The 20,771-nt window shown below is 34.6% G+C and overlaps 1 long non-coding RNA gene across 1 annotated transcript in view; it reads left to right on the forward strand.

Annotated features, from left to right (window-relative positions):
- The window catches only part of LINC01091 (long intergenic non-protein coding RNA 1091), a 280,788-nt gene extending 260,404 nt beyond the window's left edge, over window positions 1-20,384 (forward strand). The window contains exons 5-6 of the long non-coding RNA NR_027105.3: window positions 14,790-14,943; window positions 19,854-20,384. This is a non-coding gene — a long non-coding RNA (long intergenic non-protein coding RNA 1091). The remainder of the gene's footprint in view (window positions 1-14,789; window positions 14,944-19,853) is intronic.
- The last annotated feature ends 387 nt before the right edge of the window (window positions 20,385-20,771 follow it).

Genomic DNA, 20,771 nt, shown 5'->3' on the forward strand with positions numbered 1-20,771 from the left:
TCTGGAGAAGGAAATGTACTGTTATGACTATAAAGACATCCTGCTGAATATCCTGATGCTTGGGAAAGTAAAACTCAATATAGAAAAAGCATCACTAATCAAATCTACAAGTAAGATTTACTTTGATGAGGAATTTGATGCTCAAGAAATATTTTCTCCCTTTTATTGTAAATTTATAATCCTGAATTAGATTTCAATGAAAACAGGAGCCATAATAAGCCACTCTTTAAAAATAAATCATGTATTGTTATGATTTTATTTCAGGATGTGAATTTAAGTTGTAAATTAATTCATTCTGCTAATGTTGGTTGTGTACCACTTTCCCTTCAGACACTATGCTAGATAGGGGTCTGCAATGGTGAATGGAACCCAGCATTCTCTAACGGAGCTTCTAGTCTAGCTGACAGGAGGGGTGGGGATGGGTAATGAGAATCATTACATGAGTAAACATGTAAGTTAATATACTGTTCCAAATTGTGGTCAGTAAAGTGAAAAGAAAGGATAGAGTCCAACCAGAGAGAAGAAAAAGAAAAGCTCATTTGTCCCAGCACTTTGGGAGGCCGAGGCTGGTGGATCATGAGGTCAGGAGATCGAGACCATCCTGGCTAACACGGTGAAACCCCGTCTGTACTAAAAATACAAAAAAAATTAGCCGGGAATGGTGGTGGGCGCCTGTAGTCCCAGCTACTCAGGAGGCTGAGGCAGGAGAATGGCGAGAACCCGGGAGGCAGAGCTTGCAGTGAGCCGAGATCGCGCCACTGCACTCCAGCCTGGGGGACAGAGCGAGACTCCATCTCACAAAAATAAAAAAAAAAGAAAAAGAAAAGAAAAGCTCATTTGGATTAAGTGAGTCAGGGAAAAAATATTTGAGAAACTGATATTTAGCTGATACTTGATGGTGATAAATCATAACAAGTTAGATGAATTTATTGTGAAAATTTAGGTAGAGGGAAGAACTTTCTCAGAGGCCCAAAGTCAGGTAAAACTTTGTATTATTTTATTTTATTTCAGGAACTATAAAATGAGAAAAGATTGATGAATATTAAGTAGAAGAGTGAGATGGTCATCTTTGCATTTAAAAAAGATCATTTGCTGTTGCTGTATGGAAAATGAATTGGAGCAGGGTAAGAATGGAGCTGGTTCTTGCTAATGTTTGTGGAGATGGAAAATAACTAGGGAAATAATTTTCTAAGAAGAAGAAATAAAAGACCTTCCAAAATTTCATAATTACTACATAGAATTTGTAATGTAGTACTACTCATTACTACACTCAACCCATAATTAGTATGCTCAACCCATAATCTCACCTGAGGGGTACAAAGGATAGTAAGGGTCTATACTCATACAATATCGCAACTAGAAACTTTCCCATGCAACGTCTTGCATGCCTCTTGAGTTCTTCCCTTTTGCCTCTGCAGGTAACTTTTTCTGGAGAAAGCCCTCCTCTCTTTGATCGTCTGTTGAAATCGTAGCCATCTTTCAAATCCCAATTTTAGTGCTCCCTCCTCCACAAAAGGTTGATTCTTGCTAACCAAATATTTTCTCTTTCTTGACTTTAGCTCTACCGCACTTAATTTTAAATGTTTCTTATGCCATTTTTCTACTGAGTGCAGGCCTGAATTTACCTGTGTAATGCACCATTCCAGATTCCATTCACCATTGTAGACCCAGGGCCTGGCAGTGTCTGAAGGAGAGGTGGTGCACAACAAACATTGGTGAAATGAATTAATTTCCAACTGCAATTCCAGTCCTGAAACATAATCATCAAAGTACATGGGTGGCTTATTATAACTCCTTTTTTTCATAAGTCATTCTTCTATAATCAACTCCCCAGTGTGTGTCTTCAATGGTGTCTTGATAAGTATTTATTAAATTACATTTGACTTTCAATTTAAATGATATTTTAAATTTATTTTGAAGGTGGTTAACTAGGATTTACTCATTTACTTGGATAATATGCACTCTTACTGCCATTCTGAAAGAAACTTTGCATAGATAAAACTATGTTAAAAATAGCACAAACCCATGAAACAAAAGTATTTAAATATTATTTTTCATCCTTAGATATAATCTAGTTAAGTATCAGCTAAATTGGTGCCCTATTGTGAATTTATCATTTTATCACTCTTAATGCCTTTAAACCTGTTTTTATTAAAGTAAGCAGTTCAACCGAGTCATTAGGAGGGATTACATGCAAATGTAGTTATGTAGTGTTGTGTAATGTAACTTGAAGTTTAGGATGAAATCAATACATGTTTAAGAAATTAAAAAAGAATGAACAATCAATTGTACAACAGAAACAATATAAAATATGTTGTATTTAAAGTAAAATAATTTTTTTAATTCAGGAAGTTGTGATCAAATACTTGCTACAAGCGTTTCATATTAGTTCATAAGGAGCTACAGCTAATTGACACATCAATAGAAAAACCTTTTTGATGGTTTGTTCAGTCTAATCTAAGCACCACAAAACTTCCCACAAAAAAACTGCCCTGAAGTCCACTTTGATAAGATTATCAATGAAACTTACAGTATATTTCCAGTTCTCACATTTTCCTTAAAATTTGTTAAGCTTAAGAAAAGAGATAGTGCTCTTATTTATTCAGTGATAAGTAAGCAAACAAATAACAGGCTAATTTAGATCTCTTTAGAATTTCTTTTGTGTAAGTAGTATTTGTAACAAATAGTTGTCCATTTCATAATTTCTAGTTATAACAGTTTTTACCATTCAACTTTGTGATTTTATAATGCCTAAAACATAGCAGTACTCAGTAAGGTATAAAAAGAACCAGTTATTCAGTGGAATGAGGGTTGAAAAAAGCAATGTACTAAGTCACAAGATTCAAATCTCTTCTTGGTTCCCTCACTCGCAGTTATGTAATTGTGAACCATTTTTTCCCCTAATAACATGACTTAGGAAGACTTGTTTTCTTCTTTTGCCAGTAATCATACTGATGGATCAATTAACCATATTGTTTTGTTTTGTCCTCCCTTTCCCCAGATTGCTTCTAAGTATTAAAAAAAAAAAAAATCACAGAATCAGCATTCCACTTGGTAGCTAACAATGGCTTAAAACATGTCAGTGAACTTATTTTTGCTTTAAAATATGGTTATCACTAAGGTTTATTTTTAGCTAGGCTGATTGCAGATTAGCATATTTGGAGAAATGATTAAATATTTTACCTGCTTGCATTGGAAGTACGTAAAGAGAGCTCCTGGATGATATCAGGTGATAGATAATTAGTTTGGCACCTTACCAGAATGAGGTCCAGCTATGAATATTTTATTACTTACTAACAAAAGTGAGCATTCAGCTTTTGGGTCCACTCAGATACCTAAAAAACAGCTATTCTGGCACATTTACAACTTGGTAAGCAAATTTATGCAATTTTAGGTCCCTCTGCTGATTTACCTGGAAAGGCCATTATGTAAGATAATGAATTCAACAGATGAAAATCAGTGAATGCATTTGCACAATGTCACTTTATATTATAAGGAAAGATCTGGCATTTCCTCACTGAGGCATGTCCATCTTCATGTGATCTACATATTAGAGATGTGGCCCCTACTTTGGAATTGAAAAGTTCTCTTGATTAATTTTTCCTTGAATATTGCATATATTTAACTTGGGTATTTTAAAACTGAGTCAAGTGCGTGTATTAGCCAGATATCATCAAATATTCAGGCTAACATGGTAGTTAACGATGCAATACAGAAAATATTTCTTTTTTCCATTATTTGCACTTCAAAAGCTAGATGAATCTCTAATCCAAGCATTTCTTAATTGGGGTGAGGGCTGCAACTGGGGTTGGAGTGAAGAAGGAAAGTGGCAAATAGAGTATCTTTTCTTCTTTTAATGTCTACATTTTCAGGAATGATGACCCAGATTATTCATTTAAATATTCTAATATTCATCAGTAAAAGGGAGTTAACTAAGCAGTTTGTGAGAGGGAGAAAATTGAAAAAAAAAACATAGAAAAGACTAAGAAATAAACTGAAATGAGTCAACTAATAAAATATTCAGAAGAAAAGAACACAACAATTACATCAACAGAAATTGAAAATCACCAAATCCAAGAAGATAATTAAGAGTAGGAACATAGAAGAGATTTGAAACAGACACTTGAAGACCCCCTTGTAAAAGTCTAGAAAGAATAGAGTGAAAGGAAAAGAAAGAATGAGACGAAAAGTTGAAATTTTAAGATGGGTTCAAATTACTTTATTAAAGAGTGGTTTTATTTGCAACATGTGTTGGTGTGACGATCATCCTCTGATAGTCTTAGCCACCTTGTTGATAGAAAAAAAATCAGATTTATAAACACTTGGGTATCTTTTATATTAAGATCATCTCTGAATGGCATTCCTGATTTTATTATTTTCAAATCATTATAAAGTAAACAGTGAGCAGTCAAGGAGACAAACTGGGATTTAAATCTTGGCTTTGACACTTAGCATCTCAAGATACTTACCTTCCTGTGAGTCAGTTTTCTCACCTGAAAAGTATGTATAGTAATATCACCTGTCTCTTAGATTTACTGTGTACTTTATTTTTAATTTTTTTTGAGACAGAGTTTCGCTCTTGTCACCCAGGCTGGAGTACAATGGCAAGATCTCGGCTCACTGCAACCTTTGCCTCCTGGGTTCAAGTGATTCTCCTGCCTCAGCCTCCCCAGTAGCTGGGATTACAGGTGCCTGCCACCACGCCTGGCTAATTTTTTTTGTATTTTTAGTAGAGATGGGGTTTCACCATGTTGGCCAGGCTGGTCTCTAACTCTTGTTCTCAGGTGATCCACCTGCCTCAGCCTCCCAAAGTGCTGGGATTACAGGTGTAAGCCACCGCACCTGGCCTCTGTCGTGTACTTTAAATGCATTAACACATGTGAAGGTCTTGATAACGAGTGCTCTGATATAGTAAGTGTTATCTAGGTCTTAGGATTATTATGTTTGGAGGAAGTCTTACAATACAGTATACATTATTGTTTTCTTCTCTAGAATCGAATAAATTATTTTTTCTTTGTAAGACATCTCAAGGAATTTAGAAGTTGTAAGGTATTTTCTTGATTTTCCATCATGTTCATGTTTTGAACTGAGGGGCGGATGGTTTCAAAAATTGTGTAAATGATAGAGATGATGGGGCAATCATTTTGAGGAGTTTTATTGGACGTAACTAGAACAAAGGAGATGGTTTGGGGTTGTCAGCATACACTCGTCGTCTGGTAAACTCTCCGAGCTCAATTTTCTTTACTTTAAATCTCCTTCTCTTCCTGGTCAGGGAAGAAGCTGGGATTGAGTTTGATTAGAAATTGAAATAAATCTGCTGAAAATGTAAAATTTGTGTTGGTTGATCACATTTCTTCTATAATCAACGTTCCTTGAGGAGTGATACTGGATGATTAGAATTGCTGGTTTATAGAAACAGCTGGTATGGGTTTAACAGTTTAAAACTGCGCTGAGAGCAGAAACCAACCTCACATATGTTTTAGCTTAATCACATATGAGTTAGCTTAATCTCCTGATAGGAGTTCAATTGATTTGGAAAGAGTTAATCAGAATTCACGATGCATTCTTGTTTGCAGCAGTGATTGGCCATAGCACCAACAGACAAAGAGAAGCGCATTACTGAGAAAGTTTGCTATATGCAGTTTTTGTTTCTGGAATTCTACATGTGACTGGCAATAAAAAGGTTTTGCCTTTTTCCCACAACAATAGTAAAAACAGCATGACTGTTTACACTACTGTCTTTGCTACTACCGCTTTTACCCAACCAAGACTAGAACATAATAGCCTTGGTTGGTTAAGTGGATACTATGACAGACTTATGTTAAGTGCATTTAAAATACAATTTCACATAATCCTCACAAAAACTCTGAGGTAGTCACTAACAAGCTAGATTTATAAAATTAACGATCAAAGCTATTAAATTATTAATCCAAGATTATCCCAAAAGTAAGAAATAGAGTTGGGATTTGAACCCAGCCTTGTATGATGACCAAACCATATGCCCTTTCTATTGTACTTGCCCCTTGTTTTGTTCCCACAATTTTCTATTCCAAAGATCTTTATAATTTCCAATGTTGGAATCATTTATAGGCCTGAGTCAGGATGTTTCTAAAAAGCAACACATATAACCTCAGAATAAAATGAATATAATTCGTTTTGTTTGTTTGTTTTGAGACTGAGTCTCACTTTGTTGCCCAGGCTGGAGTCTGGTGGTGTGATCTCAGCTCACTGCAACCTCCACCTCCCAGATTCAAGTGATTCTTGTGCCTCAGCCTCCTGAGTAGCTGGGACTACAGGTGTCTGCCACCACACAGGGCTGATTTTTGTATTTTTAGTAGAGACTGGGTTTCACCAAGTTGGCTAGGCTGGTCTCGAACTTCTGACCTCAGGTGATCCACCCGCCTCGGCCTTCCAAAGTGCTGGGATTACAGGCGGGAGCCACTGTGCCTGGCCCTGAATATACTTATTTTTAAATTTGTTTATATACTAATATAATTGAATGTGTTTAGCCTTATGAAAACTCATTACATTGTCCTTAAGATTCCAAATAAGAAACAATTCTTATTTGTATATGCACAGGGGAAAACTTCTGGATTGGCATCAGCCTAACGATTTCACATTTGGGAACCATCACATGACACCCCAGTGACTTAGTTGCTTCTTGCTCTAGGTTAAATCCTTGTTTTTTATTAGAGGAGTTACTGAAAAAAAGATATGTGTAAACTGACTATGCCTATATTAGACTACACTCTCTCATTTGTTTCTATCATAAGTTGAGAAATGTACTTCTGTGGGAAATAATTTGGCTCTAACTCATAATACACATTATTCTTAAAAAGCCTAGAATCCTTGTGATTTTCATAATAGGAGGTTGATAGGTATGATAAAATTTTTAAAAAATAAAAATCTGGCTAAATTTTAAAAAGGTGAGACAATTTAAACAATAGGTAGCTTACTCTGTTCCAGGTATTGTTCTAAAAACATATACATTGAATTCCCATAGCAATGCTAAAAGGAGGCACTATAATGATTCCCATTTTATAAATGAGGAAACAGAGGCCCAGAGATGTTAAGTAACTTGTTCCAGGTCTTGTAGCTAGCCAGTGAGGGAGCTGCAGTTTGAGTCTAAGCAGCCTAGCTTTAAGACTCCATGCTTTTAATTAACACGCCACACCTTGTGTTTTGTGTGCTTGTTTGCTTGCTTTTCTCTATGCTATGCTGTGCTCTGCCATGTGAGAAAGGGTTAGTAATACTTCTTTATAGTTTTTTTTGAACATATTCTGTTTAGCATCAGCATCTTGATACTATCTTTTTCTATAATGCTATTTCAATTTTAAAAATGTTGCTTTGTGTTACTTTTTATTTTAAATATTACATAGGGCCATTTATCCTTCTTTTTCTATTCATTACCCACTCCTCATAAATTATTGATTGATAATAAATATTGAATGGGAAAGTCACCCCTAATGTGGAGATAAAACAGGGGAATACAGAAAAGGACTTTGAATATTCTACTCTCATTGGCAAAACTTTCTCTACTGTGAGTTAGATATCTCACAGCATCTTCCCCTGTTGTTATTTAGTGTTGGATTTTAGAACTGTCTTTGTTTTGATTTGATGATGGTCACTTGTCATTTTCTGGCTTTCCATTTAGGAAGGTCAGGTCAGGTTATGTTGCTCTCTGCCTAGAGAAAGAGGATGCTGTATAGACATTGAGGTATTCCAGTTCATGTTGCAGTTACTTATCATTATAAATTAATTAAAACCTACCTGGTTATGATATGAATTTCCAAGTAGATGTGACTAATAACAAAAATAATAATAGTAACCAACTCATGGGTTCTTGTGAGAACAGAATGAGCTAATCTGTATGAAGCACTAGAGCAGTATGCAACATAGTGAGCTCTCAATAAATGGTGGCTGTCGTTATTATCACTACTGTTGTTTTGGGAAGTGGTGCTGATCCAGTGACCGATTATGTTGTCGCCTATGACAGCTTTTCAAAAATTTTAACAATGAAATAGATACCTTGGAATTCTGGATTAAATATACATACATACATATATGTATATTTAAAAATAGCACTTAATTTTCATAATAGCATATAAGCTTATGCTCCACATAGGTTAATGAAGACTTGTTAAGAACTGAGCATTGCCATTACAGGCCATTTAATAACAGTGAGGGAAGTGATAACAAACTCGTATGAACAATAAACACAGCATGAAAGCATATATAATTAAATTCTCTATGGTATGGTCTAAGTATTGTGTGGTGTTCAGAACAGAAAAAGCTCAGCTAAGGTTGAAGTATTCAGAAAGAATTTAGTCATGGAAGTGCTGGGACATGAGATTTCCTTTAAAGAAAAGGGTCTGTCTAGTAGAGAAGGAAAAATATAAGCATACATCTCTACGCAGAAATAAGCACGGTATACTTGTGGAATAACTAGTAAATTATCATTGCTCTGTATGCCTTTCTTATCGCTTATCATAGGGACTGAGCAAAACTTTTTCCCAGGAATGAGAACAAAATAATTTTAAAACAAATCCCAGATCATTGTTTCTGTCAAAGTCAATGTTACTTTCTAAGTAAATGCTGAAGCTAGTGGCTTTATAATGATATTTCTACAGACTTGACTTATTTAAATAATCTCATGGCTATTAAATTACTACATTGGATCTGGCAGATGAAAGTATCTGTGTTTTGCTTTACAAACTTGTTCATATCAAAAACTGCCTCTTCAAAAAAGGATAATGACCTTAGGGTGTAGTGATCATGTCATCCCATTCTAAATAGATCTGTGTTTCTCACTTATAAATTGGAAGAGCAGGGTGGTAAACCTGACTGCAGAATAAGTCATATTTCATTCGGAAATATCCAGGCTGGCATTCATTTGAGGACAGGAAAGAAAACACAGAGAAACATTCACAAATGAGAAGAAAGATTACAAAGGGTACAGTAGGTTGGTAAAGATAGATAGACACCTTTCTTTCTCTCTCCCCTCCTCTTCTTCCTCCTCGCCACCTCCTCTCCTTCCCTCTTAACTTTCTTCTTTGTGTCTAATATGAGTTAGTATTACTTACACACATACCAGCTTTATTGTCAGATGTTAATGCCCACAAAACATTCCCTACGTAGATATGAGAATTCCTCAGGTTGTGCCTTAATCTGTGCTCAAAAACAAACTCCCAGCCTGCTCTGCTTCTGCGTCTTGCCTTGCTGTTTTTTAGGGAGAAGACTATTCCCACTTGTGAATCTGGCATTTTTCTTGGAAAGCTGTCTTCCATCATTAGTCACCAGAGTGATCACCACCTTGATCTTGGAGAAAGAAACATTGCTATCCATTGGGATAGTCCCGTTTTCTGTAATTTCCCACACAATGAGACCAGCTGTAATTTTTAACAGGGTTTATGGAAGGTTAAGGAATAATGGACAGAAGCTACATCAGGAGCATTACTCACAGCTATTGGCCAGGCTCAGATCCATGTCTTGCTAACCACACTGTCTCCCTGTAACACTGTCTCCCATACAGGAGTGCTACCACACTGTCTCCTGTATGGTAGGTGAGAAGCGCTGCTCACCTCCCATATCTGAGACTATTTCGACTGTCTATAGGCCAAACTAGTTTAAGTTCTTTTTCAGTTTAAGATTTGCTGCTTAGATCTTCATTTTCTGTCATAAGATTGATATCTTTCCAGGATTTTTGACAACAGGAATTTCATTCTCTTATATTGATAGGTCTTCCTTTGGGGTGAGGGTATGTATCTGGGATAGTTGTAGGAACCTCATCCCACTCAAGGAAACATGCTCTGCCTTTCTGCTTCTTATAAGGCAACCTTGCAGTAGTCCAAGACTACGATGTTTTTGAGTTACCTGGTCTAATAAAAACCACAGGTGGCAAATAATTGTGTCCAGGTTAGCCCACACTAAGCTGAGTCCAGTCTCTCTTCCATCAGCCCTTTCCAAAGATTAAAACAATCTTGGTGTCTAGACTCAGGTTACTTGATACATATATTCATATATTTTATTTTTTTATATTTATTTTATTATTATTATTTTTAATAGAAACAGGGTTTTATCGTGTTGCCCAGGCTGGTCTCAAACTCCTGAGATCTGCCTGCCTCAGCCTCCCAAAGTGCTGGGATTATGAGCATGAGCCACCGTACCAGGCCTATATTTGTATATTTTAAATAATTAATTAATCTAGTTTTAATTGAAAAGTAAAGATTGTATATATTTATTGTGTACAACATGTTTTGAAATATGTATGCATTGTGAAATGATTACTAGAGCTAAGTAACATATGCATTACCTCACATAATTGTCATTTTTTGTGATAATCAAATCTTTCAGCAATTCTTCAGAATACAATACATTGTTACTAACTACAGTCATCATGTTGTATGATGTATCTCTTAAACTTATTCCTCCTATCTAACAAACTTTGTATTCTTTGACTAACATCTGCCCATCTCCCCCCTCCCCCAACCTCTGGTAACTGCCATTCTACTCTCTTCCTACAAAATACACTTTTTAATTTTAATTTAATTTTATTCTATTTTGAGACAGGGTCTCACTCTGTCACTGAGACTGAAGCAAGTGGTGCGATCTAAGCTCACTGCAGCCTTGACCTCCTGTGCTCAGGTGATCCTTCCCCTTCAGCCTCCGTGTAGCTGAGATTACAGGTGCATGCCACCACATTTGGCTTGAAAATTTTTTTTTTCATGGGGTTTTCTTACAGATGGGGTTTTGCCATGTTGCCCAGGCTGGTCTCAATCTCCTAGGCTCAAGTCATCCTCCTCTCTTGGCCTCCCAAAGTGCTGAGATTACAGGTGTGAGCCACTGCACTTGGCCTGGTTTGATTCCACATTTTCTTACTATGATAGAATACTGCACACTGGGAAATTTATAAACAATAGAAGCTTATTTGGTTCATGATTCTGCAGGCTGGAAAGTTCAGGATCGAGGGGCTGAATCTGGTGAAGGACTTCTTGCTGCATCAGCCATGGCAGAAAGACAAAGAGAGTGAGAGAGAGACAGCCAGAGATTAAATTTACAGCCCCAAGCCCTTTTATAATTGGTTTTAATCCATTCATGAGAATGTAGCCTTCATTATCTAAACACTTCTTATTAGGCCCCACTGCCAAACGTTGTTGCACTGGGGGATTAAGCTTCCAGCACATGTTTTTTGGAGGACATATTCAAACCGTAGCATACAGATAAGTGAGATCATGTGTATTTGTCTTTCTGTGCCTGGCTTATTTCACTTGGCATAATGTCTTCCAGGTTCATCCACGTTGTTGAAATGACAGGACTTTCTTCTTCTTCGTCTTTTTTTTTTTAGACTTAATGGTATTCCACTGTGTATATATACTATATTTCCCTTATCTAATTATCTGTTGATGGACACTTCGGTTGATTCCATATCTTGGCTATTGTGATAATGCTGCAGTGAATATGGGAGTGTAGATATGTCTTTGAAATACTAATTTCATTTCCTTTGGAGATATATATATATGTGTGTATATATATATGTGTATATATATATGTATATATATGTGTATATATGTGTATATATGTGTATGTATATGTGTATGTATATGTGTATATATGTGTATATATATGTGTATATGCATATATACACATATACATACACACACATACATAAGTATATATATAAAATTGCTGGATCAAGTAATTTTTTGAGGAATCTCCATACTGTTTTATGTAATGACTATCTTAATTCATATTCCTATCAACAGTGTGAAAATGTTTCCTTTTCCCCACATCCTCACCAACTCTTGTTATCTTTCCTCTTTTTGATAATAGCCATTCTAACAAGTGTAAGGTAATATCTCATTATGGTTTTAATTTGTATTTCTCTGATAAGTAGTAAAGATTTACTGAATTCATTTTTTAATTCTAGCAGTTTTTTGGTGGAGTCTTTAGGGTTTTCTTATATATAGAAAACCTATATATAGGAGTGGAATTGCTGGGGACGCATATGCTTAGTTTCAGTATAGATTCCCAGATTTCCAAAGTGACTGCATCCTTTTCCACTTTTCACCGCAGTTTCTGAGAGTTCTCGTTGCTCTGGAACATTTGCCCTTGTGCTTTTTAACTGGCAATTGTTAATAAAATAGAAAGCTGTATTTTTTTTCCTGTATGTTCATTTTATGTATTTTGCTAAGTATCTTATTGTTTTAAAAAATGCTCTAAAACCGTGGTAATATCTCCACCTTTATTTCTAATTTTGTATATTTATACATTATTTATTACACTAAAAGTTTGTCTGTTATTGGTTTAATTTCTAGCAAAATATCTATGAAAATTATTTATTAATTCTATTGTTTCAAAAATTAATATTTTCTTATTTCATACTTATTCGTTTTTAGCTTTCCTTAAGCTTATTTTTCAATCTTCATTAGCAGAATGCTTACCTAATTGATTATTGTTTAATAGTAAATTGTTTCTGCTGATGGAGTGACCAACATAAATCCAGGGGAAATCTGCTGGAGAGATATTGAGTATAAAATATTTTTTCATTCAGAGAGAGAGAGACAGAGACAGAGACACACAGGGAGAGAAATAAGGAGTTAATTATCCACTTCCTTCCCCAGGACTTTGCCATGTCTGCATGTGTGGATGAAGAGTGTGATTTTAATCTTATAACCAGGAAGGGAGTTAGTCATAGGGAAATTACAGAACAGATGATTAAAGATATGTAGGTCTTTTCTGATATCACAAAGGCACAGCCTTTCATCCAACTTCCTCTTATTAAAGACCAAAAACATTAAAAATAAAAAAAGGAAAAAGGAAATAAATATTTTTCCCAATTTTTAAACTTCTGAATTCTGTTTTCTATTATTGGCCAAGGCATTCTAACTGATTCACTACCCATATCTTTCTTCATTTTTGTTTTGCTTGATATAACAGGGACAGAGAGCTATGAAAGTATCCTCCTACTGTTGTTTTCTTTTTTTTGAAAAAACTAGTTTTTGATTACATGATCCTGTATTTTATTATTATTCAGCTTGAAGATTCATAAGTTACAATTTTGTGTCACAAACTTATTTTGTTCTTTCCCATCATATTATTTTAAAAATATACAATCTACAATTTCTTACCCAGCTTCTTAAAGTATTAGTTTATTACTATGTGAGGATTAATTTACTTTTCTTTCAAATAGTGTTAAAATGTACTTTCTGATAAAATATTGTTAAACAATTTCCTTATACTCAATGCTATATTTACATATTTTCTGAGACTCACTTCTACTGTTCTTATGCTGTAATTTCCCCTTTTATATGTACAGATAAACCTTAATAGAATACTTTCTTGATTTTTTTTTCAGGACAAATAAATAGATAATATTCTTTCAGTTACTGTTACACATGAAACAAAACTTCAGTGAACATAGAGCATCTGGCTTAAAATTTGTTCCCCTGATGCATTTGTAGCTGTTTTTCCCATGTTCTGGCATTTGGTGTGGTGCAGAAGAGGTCCTGCCTCAGTGTAATTGTTCTGCCGTGCTAGGTTACATTTTTTTCCCACCTTTAGGCTGGTTGTCTTTCACGTCTCAACAGGGTATATCTGGGTTGATTTTTACTCTTCAGATGTAACCTCTTTAAATCTTTAGATTCAATTCAAATTTTTTTCTATTAATACTTTTTTTCAGTATATTTTCTGTTCTATTTTTCAGAATTATTGATCAAATTTGGATCTCTGTGTGCTGTCCTCCAATTTAATACTTTCTGTGTTGCTGTTTTATTTTCTTTCTTCTGGAACCTGGCAAAGTGCGTCAAGGTGGGTCACCAGATGTCTGACTCAATCTTCTATATTAATAGGTTTTCTCTGTATTGTTAAAATTAATTTTAAATTGATTTTGTGAAATTTATAATTATAGGATTTTTTTCATGTTCAGCTCCATTTAAATTTTTTCCTGTTTGCCCATTCTTCTTTTTTCTTATCACTTTGAACATACTGATCTCACACAGAAAAGACGCATTGATAGAAACGAATTTCTGAACTGAGTCCAAAGATTTAAAGAGGTTACATATAAATTGTAAAACACCTACATCTGGTTGTACCCTGATGAAAAAAGAAAGAAGACAATCTCTTTATCATGTCTGTCTTTTGTTTTGAAGTTGTTACTTAAATTTTGTTAAAATAAATTGTGGTTTATTGCATTATTTTCCTCATTTCTTCACCTCTTCTTGCGTCTGTTCCCTTGCTATGGCCTCGTCATCACAGATGGCATGTACTCATTTCATCTTGTCTCTGGGCTTGGCTATATGACTTGCTTTGGCTGATGACACATGAGCAAAAGTCACAGTTTGTATTCTAAGTGCAAGCCTGGAAGACCTCACATGTTCTTGCTTGTTTTCTTTTCTTTCTGGCCGATCATGGAAATAACATAACCATGGGTAGCCTGCTGGTCAGCAGAGCCACCCTAGGTAATTAATAGACATGCAGTGACAAAAAGAGCTTCCCAGTTGAGCCAAGCCTATGTCAATCAGATTCTAGTAGATTCACAGATGCATGAGCAGTAAGAAAAGTTTACACTTATTGGAGTGATTTGTTATGTAGCAATAAGTAACCAATACAATACGTTTTAAAATATTTTCTCTGGTAAGTCATTTTCAAAAGTAATTCTTTCTGTGCTTCTTGCTTAATAAATTTTTTTTGTAAATCTTACTTTTAAAACTTTATTCTTTTTTGCCTTGAATTCCTCACTGAAAAAAGATTCATTGTTTTTTTTTTTTTTTCTAATTCATCTGTCAAAATAGCGATGAGGCTTCCTCTTTGAAGATCACAGGTGAGAAGATTAGGTGCTTTCTCAGAAGCCCAGCAACCTGATGGGAGTGTGGAGTGAGCAAGACCCAAATCGGAGCTTCATCCCTGCATGGTTCATTTTGCTTATTTGGCAAACTTGCCCTGCAGGTAAGCAGATCCAGTGTGACAATATCTTCCTGTGCCAGCTGTTCATGTTTTCAAAGAAGAGATTCTTTGGGGTTTTGTTTTGTGCCTTGAACCCTTCAAAAGCAAATGTCCCAATTCTGACTGGCTTACTACTTGTCCTGCTTCCTGCTCTTCTAAAGAAGATATCTGCTGCTTTGGGGGAAAATTTTCAGCATGGTTCAAGGTATTTTATTTGCTTGCTATCCTTGAAAGAGACTAGCCAGCTGCTCACAAATCTCACTTCATCTCCCTCTTAGATATTCAGCTAACCTATATTTTTGTTTCCTCTGCCTGTGGCCATGTGATTGATTTCTTAGGAATATAATGTGAATAGAAGTGATATTGTTATTTCCAGATCTGGCTCATAAAAACTTCCTATGAACAATTACCAACTTTCCAACAGAGGCTAAAGAAAATGGAGAAAGTCCAATAACCAAGGATTGCATCTGACCCACTGCAGTACGCAATCAACTTTAACAATTATTGAAAAAGCAGAGATTTTGTAAGATTCTTCAGTTAAACAAAGTAACTATACTTGTAAAGATCAAATTCAGAGAGATCTAGACTACGGCAAAAAGTATCACTCACCTTTACTATTAAATCAGATTGTATGTTAGGTCTTTCAACTTAACCATCTTTGAATTTAACCTAAATATCTCCATTTTCTGCTAGCTGCTACAGCAAGACAGTGTCCAGTCATTTTTATGTAGTGCTCCTCCCACTTACACACCCTGTTTAGTTCAGATTCCAGTGTCTCTGGATCAATTACTGTGAAAGGAAGGTGGCAGAAGTAGGATGGAGCAAAGGAAGTACAACCGTGATGCACCAAAATGGCAGGGTGCTCTGGAGTGAATACTGACATACAGAGCCAGGGTCCCATTTTGGGCCCAAATGGCTGAGTTTTTATCCTCTGCAGGGCTGAAAATCGGTTCTTGATATTCCCGCCTTGCTCAGTCACCACAGTGGTCACTCCCACATGGATGTGATCTTAACTAGATCTCTACAGTTGAAGATGGCCATTTGGGACCAACTTGGGGAGCTATATGCTGACTGACCATACTCCTAGTGACTGGGCAGTGACTTCTGCCAAATTCTAGTTAATCTTACATTTCCTCTCACACACTAGTTTTTTTCTCCCATTTTTTAATAATATGCTGTTTTTTCCTCCATGAAAATGTTTGGTATGACTCCTAACAGTTCTCTATTTTTTTTTTTCTTTTATTAAAAGAAATTGGCAGTGCTCATTGTCTGTGCAGAGTAGAAGAGGCACCATGAGACAAATTACTTTTGATCACCAAATAGTTACTTAAAGGGCTGTTGGTTTCTTATAGTTATCAAATTTTATTGGTATACCTAATGCATTTGACACCTGAAGTAAATCATTTTTAAATATCTTCCCTTTATTCTAGAAAATTATTTTAGTAAATTTCATAAAATGAAATAAATAATAGTAATGGATAGATTTTTAAATTATGCTTTATACATATAATCATATAGCTTAGAAATATAAAACAAATTTAAAACAAACCAATTAAAACAAAAATAAATAAAACAAGAATGAAAAAAGAAAAAATAGAAGGAAAAATAAATAAAGTAATTAGAATGGTATAAAGAGAACAAAGTACAATTAATTCAATAATTTTGATAGCTACATAGCAATTGAAACTTTGAACTTTTGGTTACAGTCTGATATAATAAGTCATCTATATAATTGGTAATTAATAAATGAATTATAAGGGAAGCAAAATGTCTATAAAGGCTAAAATTTAGGCAACTGGGTCATAGCCCTGATGTAACATTTTATTATTATGATTTGTTTATTATTTTAAAAACAAGGTAGTTTATTAAAAAGTTAACCATGAATTTACCATCTGACACAGCAATTTCACTACGAGGTATTTATGCAAGAATAAATGAAAACATATGTCCATTCAAAGACCTGTGCACCAATCTTCATAGCAGCCTTTTTAATAATAGCCAAAAAGTGAAAACAGTTTAATGCCCATCAATTGGTAAAGGAATTAACAAATGTGGTATATCTATATGTGGAATATTATTTGGCAATAAGACATGGTTTATCCATATCATAGATAAACCTCAAAAACATCATGCTAAGTGAAAGAAGTCATTAAGACTTAGAAGAAAGTTGAAACCCAATCCAAAGAATCTAAGGACTACAATAAAATGATATAGGAGCTGAAAGACAAAATAGCCATTTTAAGAAAGAATCAAACTGATGTAATAGAGCTGGAAACACACTACAAGAATTTCTAATACAATTTGCAAATATTAACAGCAGAACACACCAAGCTCAGGAATGATTCTCAGAGCTCAAAGCCTGCTTCTCTGAACTAAATCAGTCAGACAAAAATTAAGAAAAAATAAAAAAGAATGAACAACATCTCTGAGAAATATGAGACTATGTAGAAAAGCAAATCTAAGACTCACTGGTATCCCTGAAAGATGGAGAGAAAGCAAGCAACTTGAAAAACATATTTGAGGATATCAATGAAAATTTCCCCAACCTCACTAGAGGGGCCAACATTCAAATACAGGAAGTGCAGAGAACCCCTGTGAGATACTATACAAGATGACCAACCCCAAGACACACAGTCATCAGATTCTCCAAGGTCAAAATGAAAGAAGAAATGTTAAAGGCAGCTAGAGAGAAGGGGCAGGTCACCTACAAAGGGAAGCCTATCAGACTAACAATGGACCTTTTAGCATAAACCATACAAGCCAAAAGAGATTACAGCCTATATTTAGCATGCTTAAACAAAAGAAACTCCAACTAATAATTCATATCCAGCCAAACTAAGCTTTATAAGAGAAAGAGAAGTAAAATTATTTTCAGACAAGCAAATGCTAAGGAATTCATTACCACCAGACCTATTTTACAAGAGATCCTTAATGGAGTGCTAAACATGGAAATGAAAGACCATTATTGGCCTCCACAAAAACACAGTTAGGTACCTATACCGTTGACATTATAAAGCAACTGCACAATCAAGTCTGCATAATAACCAGGTAACATGATGATGACAGAATCAAATCTGCACTATCAATATTAACCTTGAAGGTAAATGGGCTAAATGCTGCAAATAAATGGCACAGAGTAGCAAGTTGGGTAAAGAAACATGACCCAATGCTATGCAGTCTTCAAGACACCCATCTCACATGCAGTGACACCCATAGGTTCAAAGTAAAGAAATGAAGAAAAATCTAACAAGCAAACAGAAAACAAAACAAAACAAAAAGCAGGAGTTGCTATTTTAATTTTAGACAAAACAGACTTTAAACCAACAACAATAAAAAAAGACAAAGAAGGGCATTACATGATGGTAAATGTTTCAATTCAACAAGATTTAACTATCCTAAATATATATGCATCCAATACACGAGCACCTGGATTTATAAAACAAGTTCTTAGAGACTACAAAGAGACTTGAGTGTGGAGGGTGAGAGGAGGCTGAGGATCAAAACACTACCTGTTGGATACTATCAGTATCACCTGGTTTACAAAATAATATGTACACCAAACCTGTACAACATGCAATTTATCTATAGAGCCAACCTGCATATGTACTCCTGAAACTTAAAAAAAAAAAAAAGTTAGAAAAAAATTAGATGCTGGGAAAATTCAGAGTCACAGCTCTTTTTAAAAATTTTAATAAGGAAAATTTTTTTCCATATATAAACAATAGCTTATTAGAAAACATAAATGAAAAGAATTTTTTCTTTACAATTCCAATTCCAAACACAAAATATCTAGAAATATACTTCATAAAAGGTGTGTAATACCTACATAAAGAAAGAATAAAAACATTTCTGAGGAACATAAAGGATGACTGAAGAAAATACAAAGATACTCTACATTCTTGGAAAAGAAGAATCAGTATTGTAAAGATATCAACGTACCTAAATTGATCTGGAAATCCAATATGATATCAATTATTAATTTGATATTAACTTATTTCTACTAACAATATAATATAAAACTCATCTGGATGAATTAACATAAAATAATCTTCTGAGGAATCCTGAAAAAGAAAATTAATAATGGGGAACTAGCCTTAGTGTTTCTGAAAATATATGTAATAAAGCAACAAAAATTAAAATTCTTTAGTCCTTATGAATAAATAGACAGCAACGGAACACAATCTAGGAACAGTCCCAAACACAGGAAAATTTAATTTATAACAGAGTGACTAAATATTTAGAACAAAATTAAGTAAACTTGGGTCTTTATCTCGCTCCTTACACCAAATATTTAAACATTAAAAAACCCCACATAAATTCTAGGAAAAAATAATAATAACTTTATTTATTATTTTAGACCAAGAGAGGACTTCTTAAGTGACCTAAACTCAGAATTGAGAAAGTGTCTATGAGAACCAAAGCAAACCATCCATCCAAACAAAATAAACTTCTGTCTGGTGAAAAGAATCATCAACCAAGTAAACACAACTGATATTTTTTTTGGGAAAAAGTGCAATACTTCTGGCAGAAAATGTCCTGATTCATAAAAAGGTCAAACAATATCATGGCAGTCAAAATCAGATCATTTAAATGAGGAAAAAATTAGGGATATACATTCAACAAAACAGTCATAGACCATGGAAACAGAAAGTCCCTAAAAATGTTAATAATGTTGATTTTTATTGTTTTACCCTTTGTTTTCCATTTTATGCAACCAAGATTTTCCCTTGCACCTTAGAATGCTTTCTTTAAAATGTCCTTGCTCTCTTAATTTTCTGAGTTGCTACTTTCTCATTTTCCTTGCTGATTATAAAACAACTGAAGGATAAGAAACACATGTTTTTCTATAACTGTTTTTAATTAAATGTTTGGTAAACTGAAATGATTGTAATTACTCTTTTGTTATCTTCAAGAATCTACTCAAGCTTCCTCAGTTTCTCAAATCATTCTTGGGCAACAAATGAACAAGAAAGAGGACGTCTTATTATCTGGTGTCTGGCTTGCTGATTTAATAACCTAGGAGACAGTGTTTGAAGAACACAAACTCTAAAGTCCTTCACTTAAAAAAAAAAAAAAACTTTCCCAAATTGCTTACCATTTGGAAAAATTGCCTTACCTTCTTCAGTCATCTCTGATGTTGTCATCCTCAGAGTAAGAAGTACGCATTCATAAGGAACCATAACGTCCTTCAGGAAATCCAGTACACCCTACAATTTTACCTAAAACTTTGATGTTGTTTTTTCTGAGCATTTTACCTTCTAGGGAAATGGATCTCATGCTGTTTATCAGTTTCTGAAAGTTGTTATTAATCTCCCCTCATCCCAAAATTGAAGAACTTTGCTTAAATCTTAGAATCAGAACTTTGGCTCCAGTAATAAAGACTTTTCAATATCTTTATCTGCCATTGAGTCTTACCTAACGAAATAAAGCCTCCAAAGTGGGAATTTGAAATGTTTTAGAATCTTTTTTTTTCCTTTTGACATAGTGATTGGTGGGATGCTACAGGCAGTTAGTGGTTAGGGTCCAGAAATGCCAGACATCTTGCAGTGAGAGGGATAGTCTGTACAAGGAAGAATTCTCACATGTTCTGACTAACACTGGATATTATTACAGGTGAAAACATTGGAATCTTGTGAACCTCAACCTGTGTTTTACATATGTATACATGAAGTGAGTTTTGTATGCTTTATTTTTTCACTATTTGAAAAATGTAACTGCTTATTTTCTATTGTTGTGTAACAAATCACTATGCACTTAGCAGCTTAAAAAATATTATTTATTATCTCACAGTTTATGAGTCATAGGCCACTAGTTTGGACACACTTAGCTGA

This window comes from Homo sapiens, chromosome 4 (genome assembly GCF_000001405.40).
Source record: "Homo sapiens chromosome 4, GRCh38.p14 Primary Assembly".
NCBI lineage: Eukaryota > Metazoa > Chordata > Mammalia > Primates > Hominidae > Homo > Homo sapiens.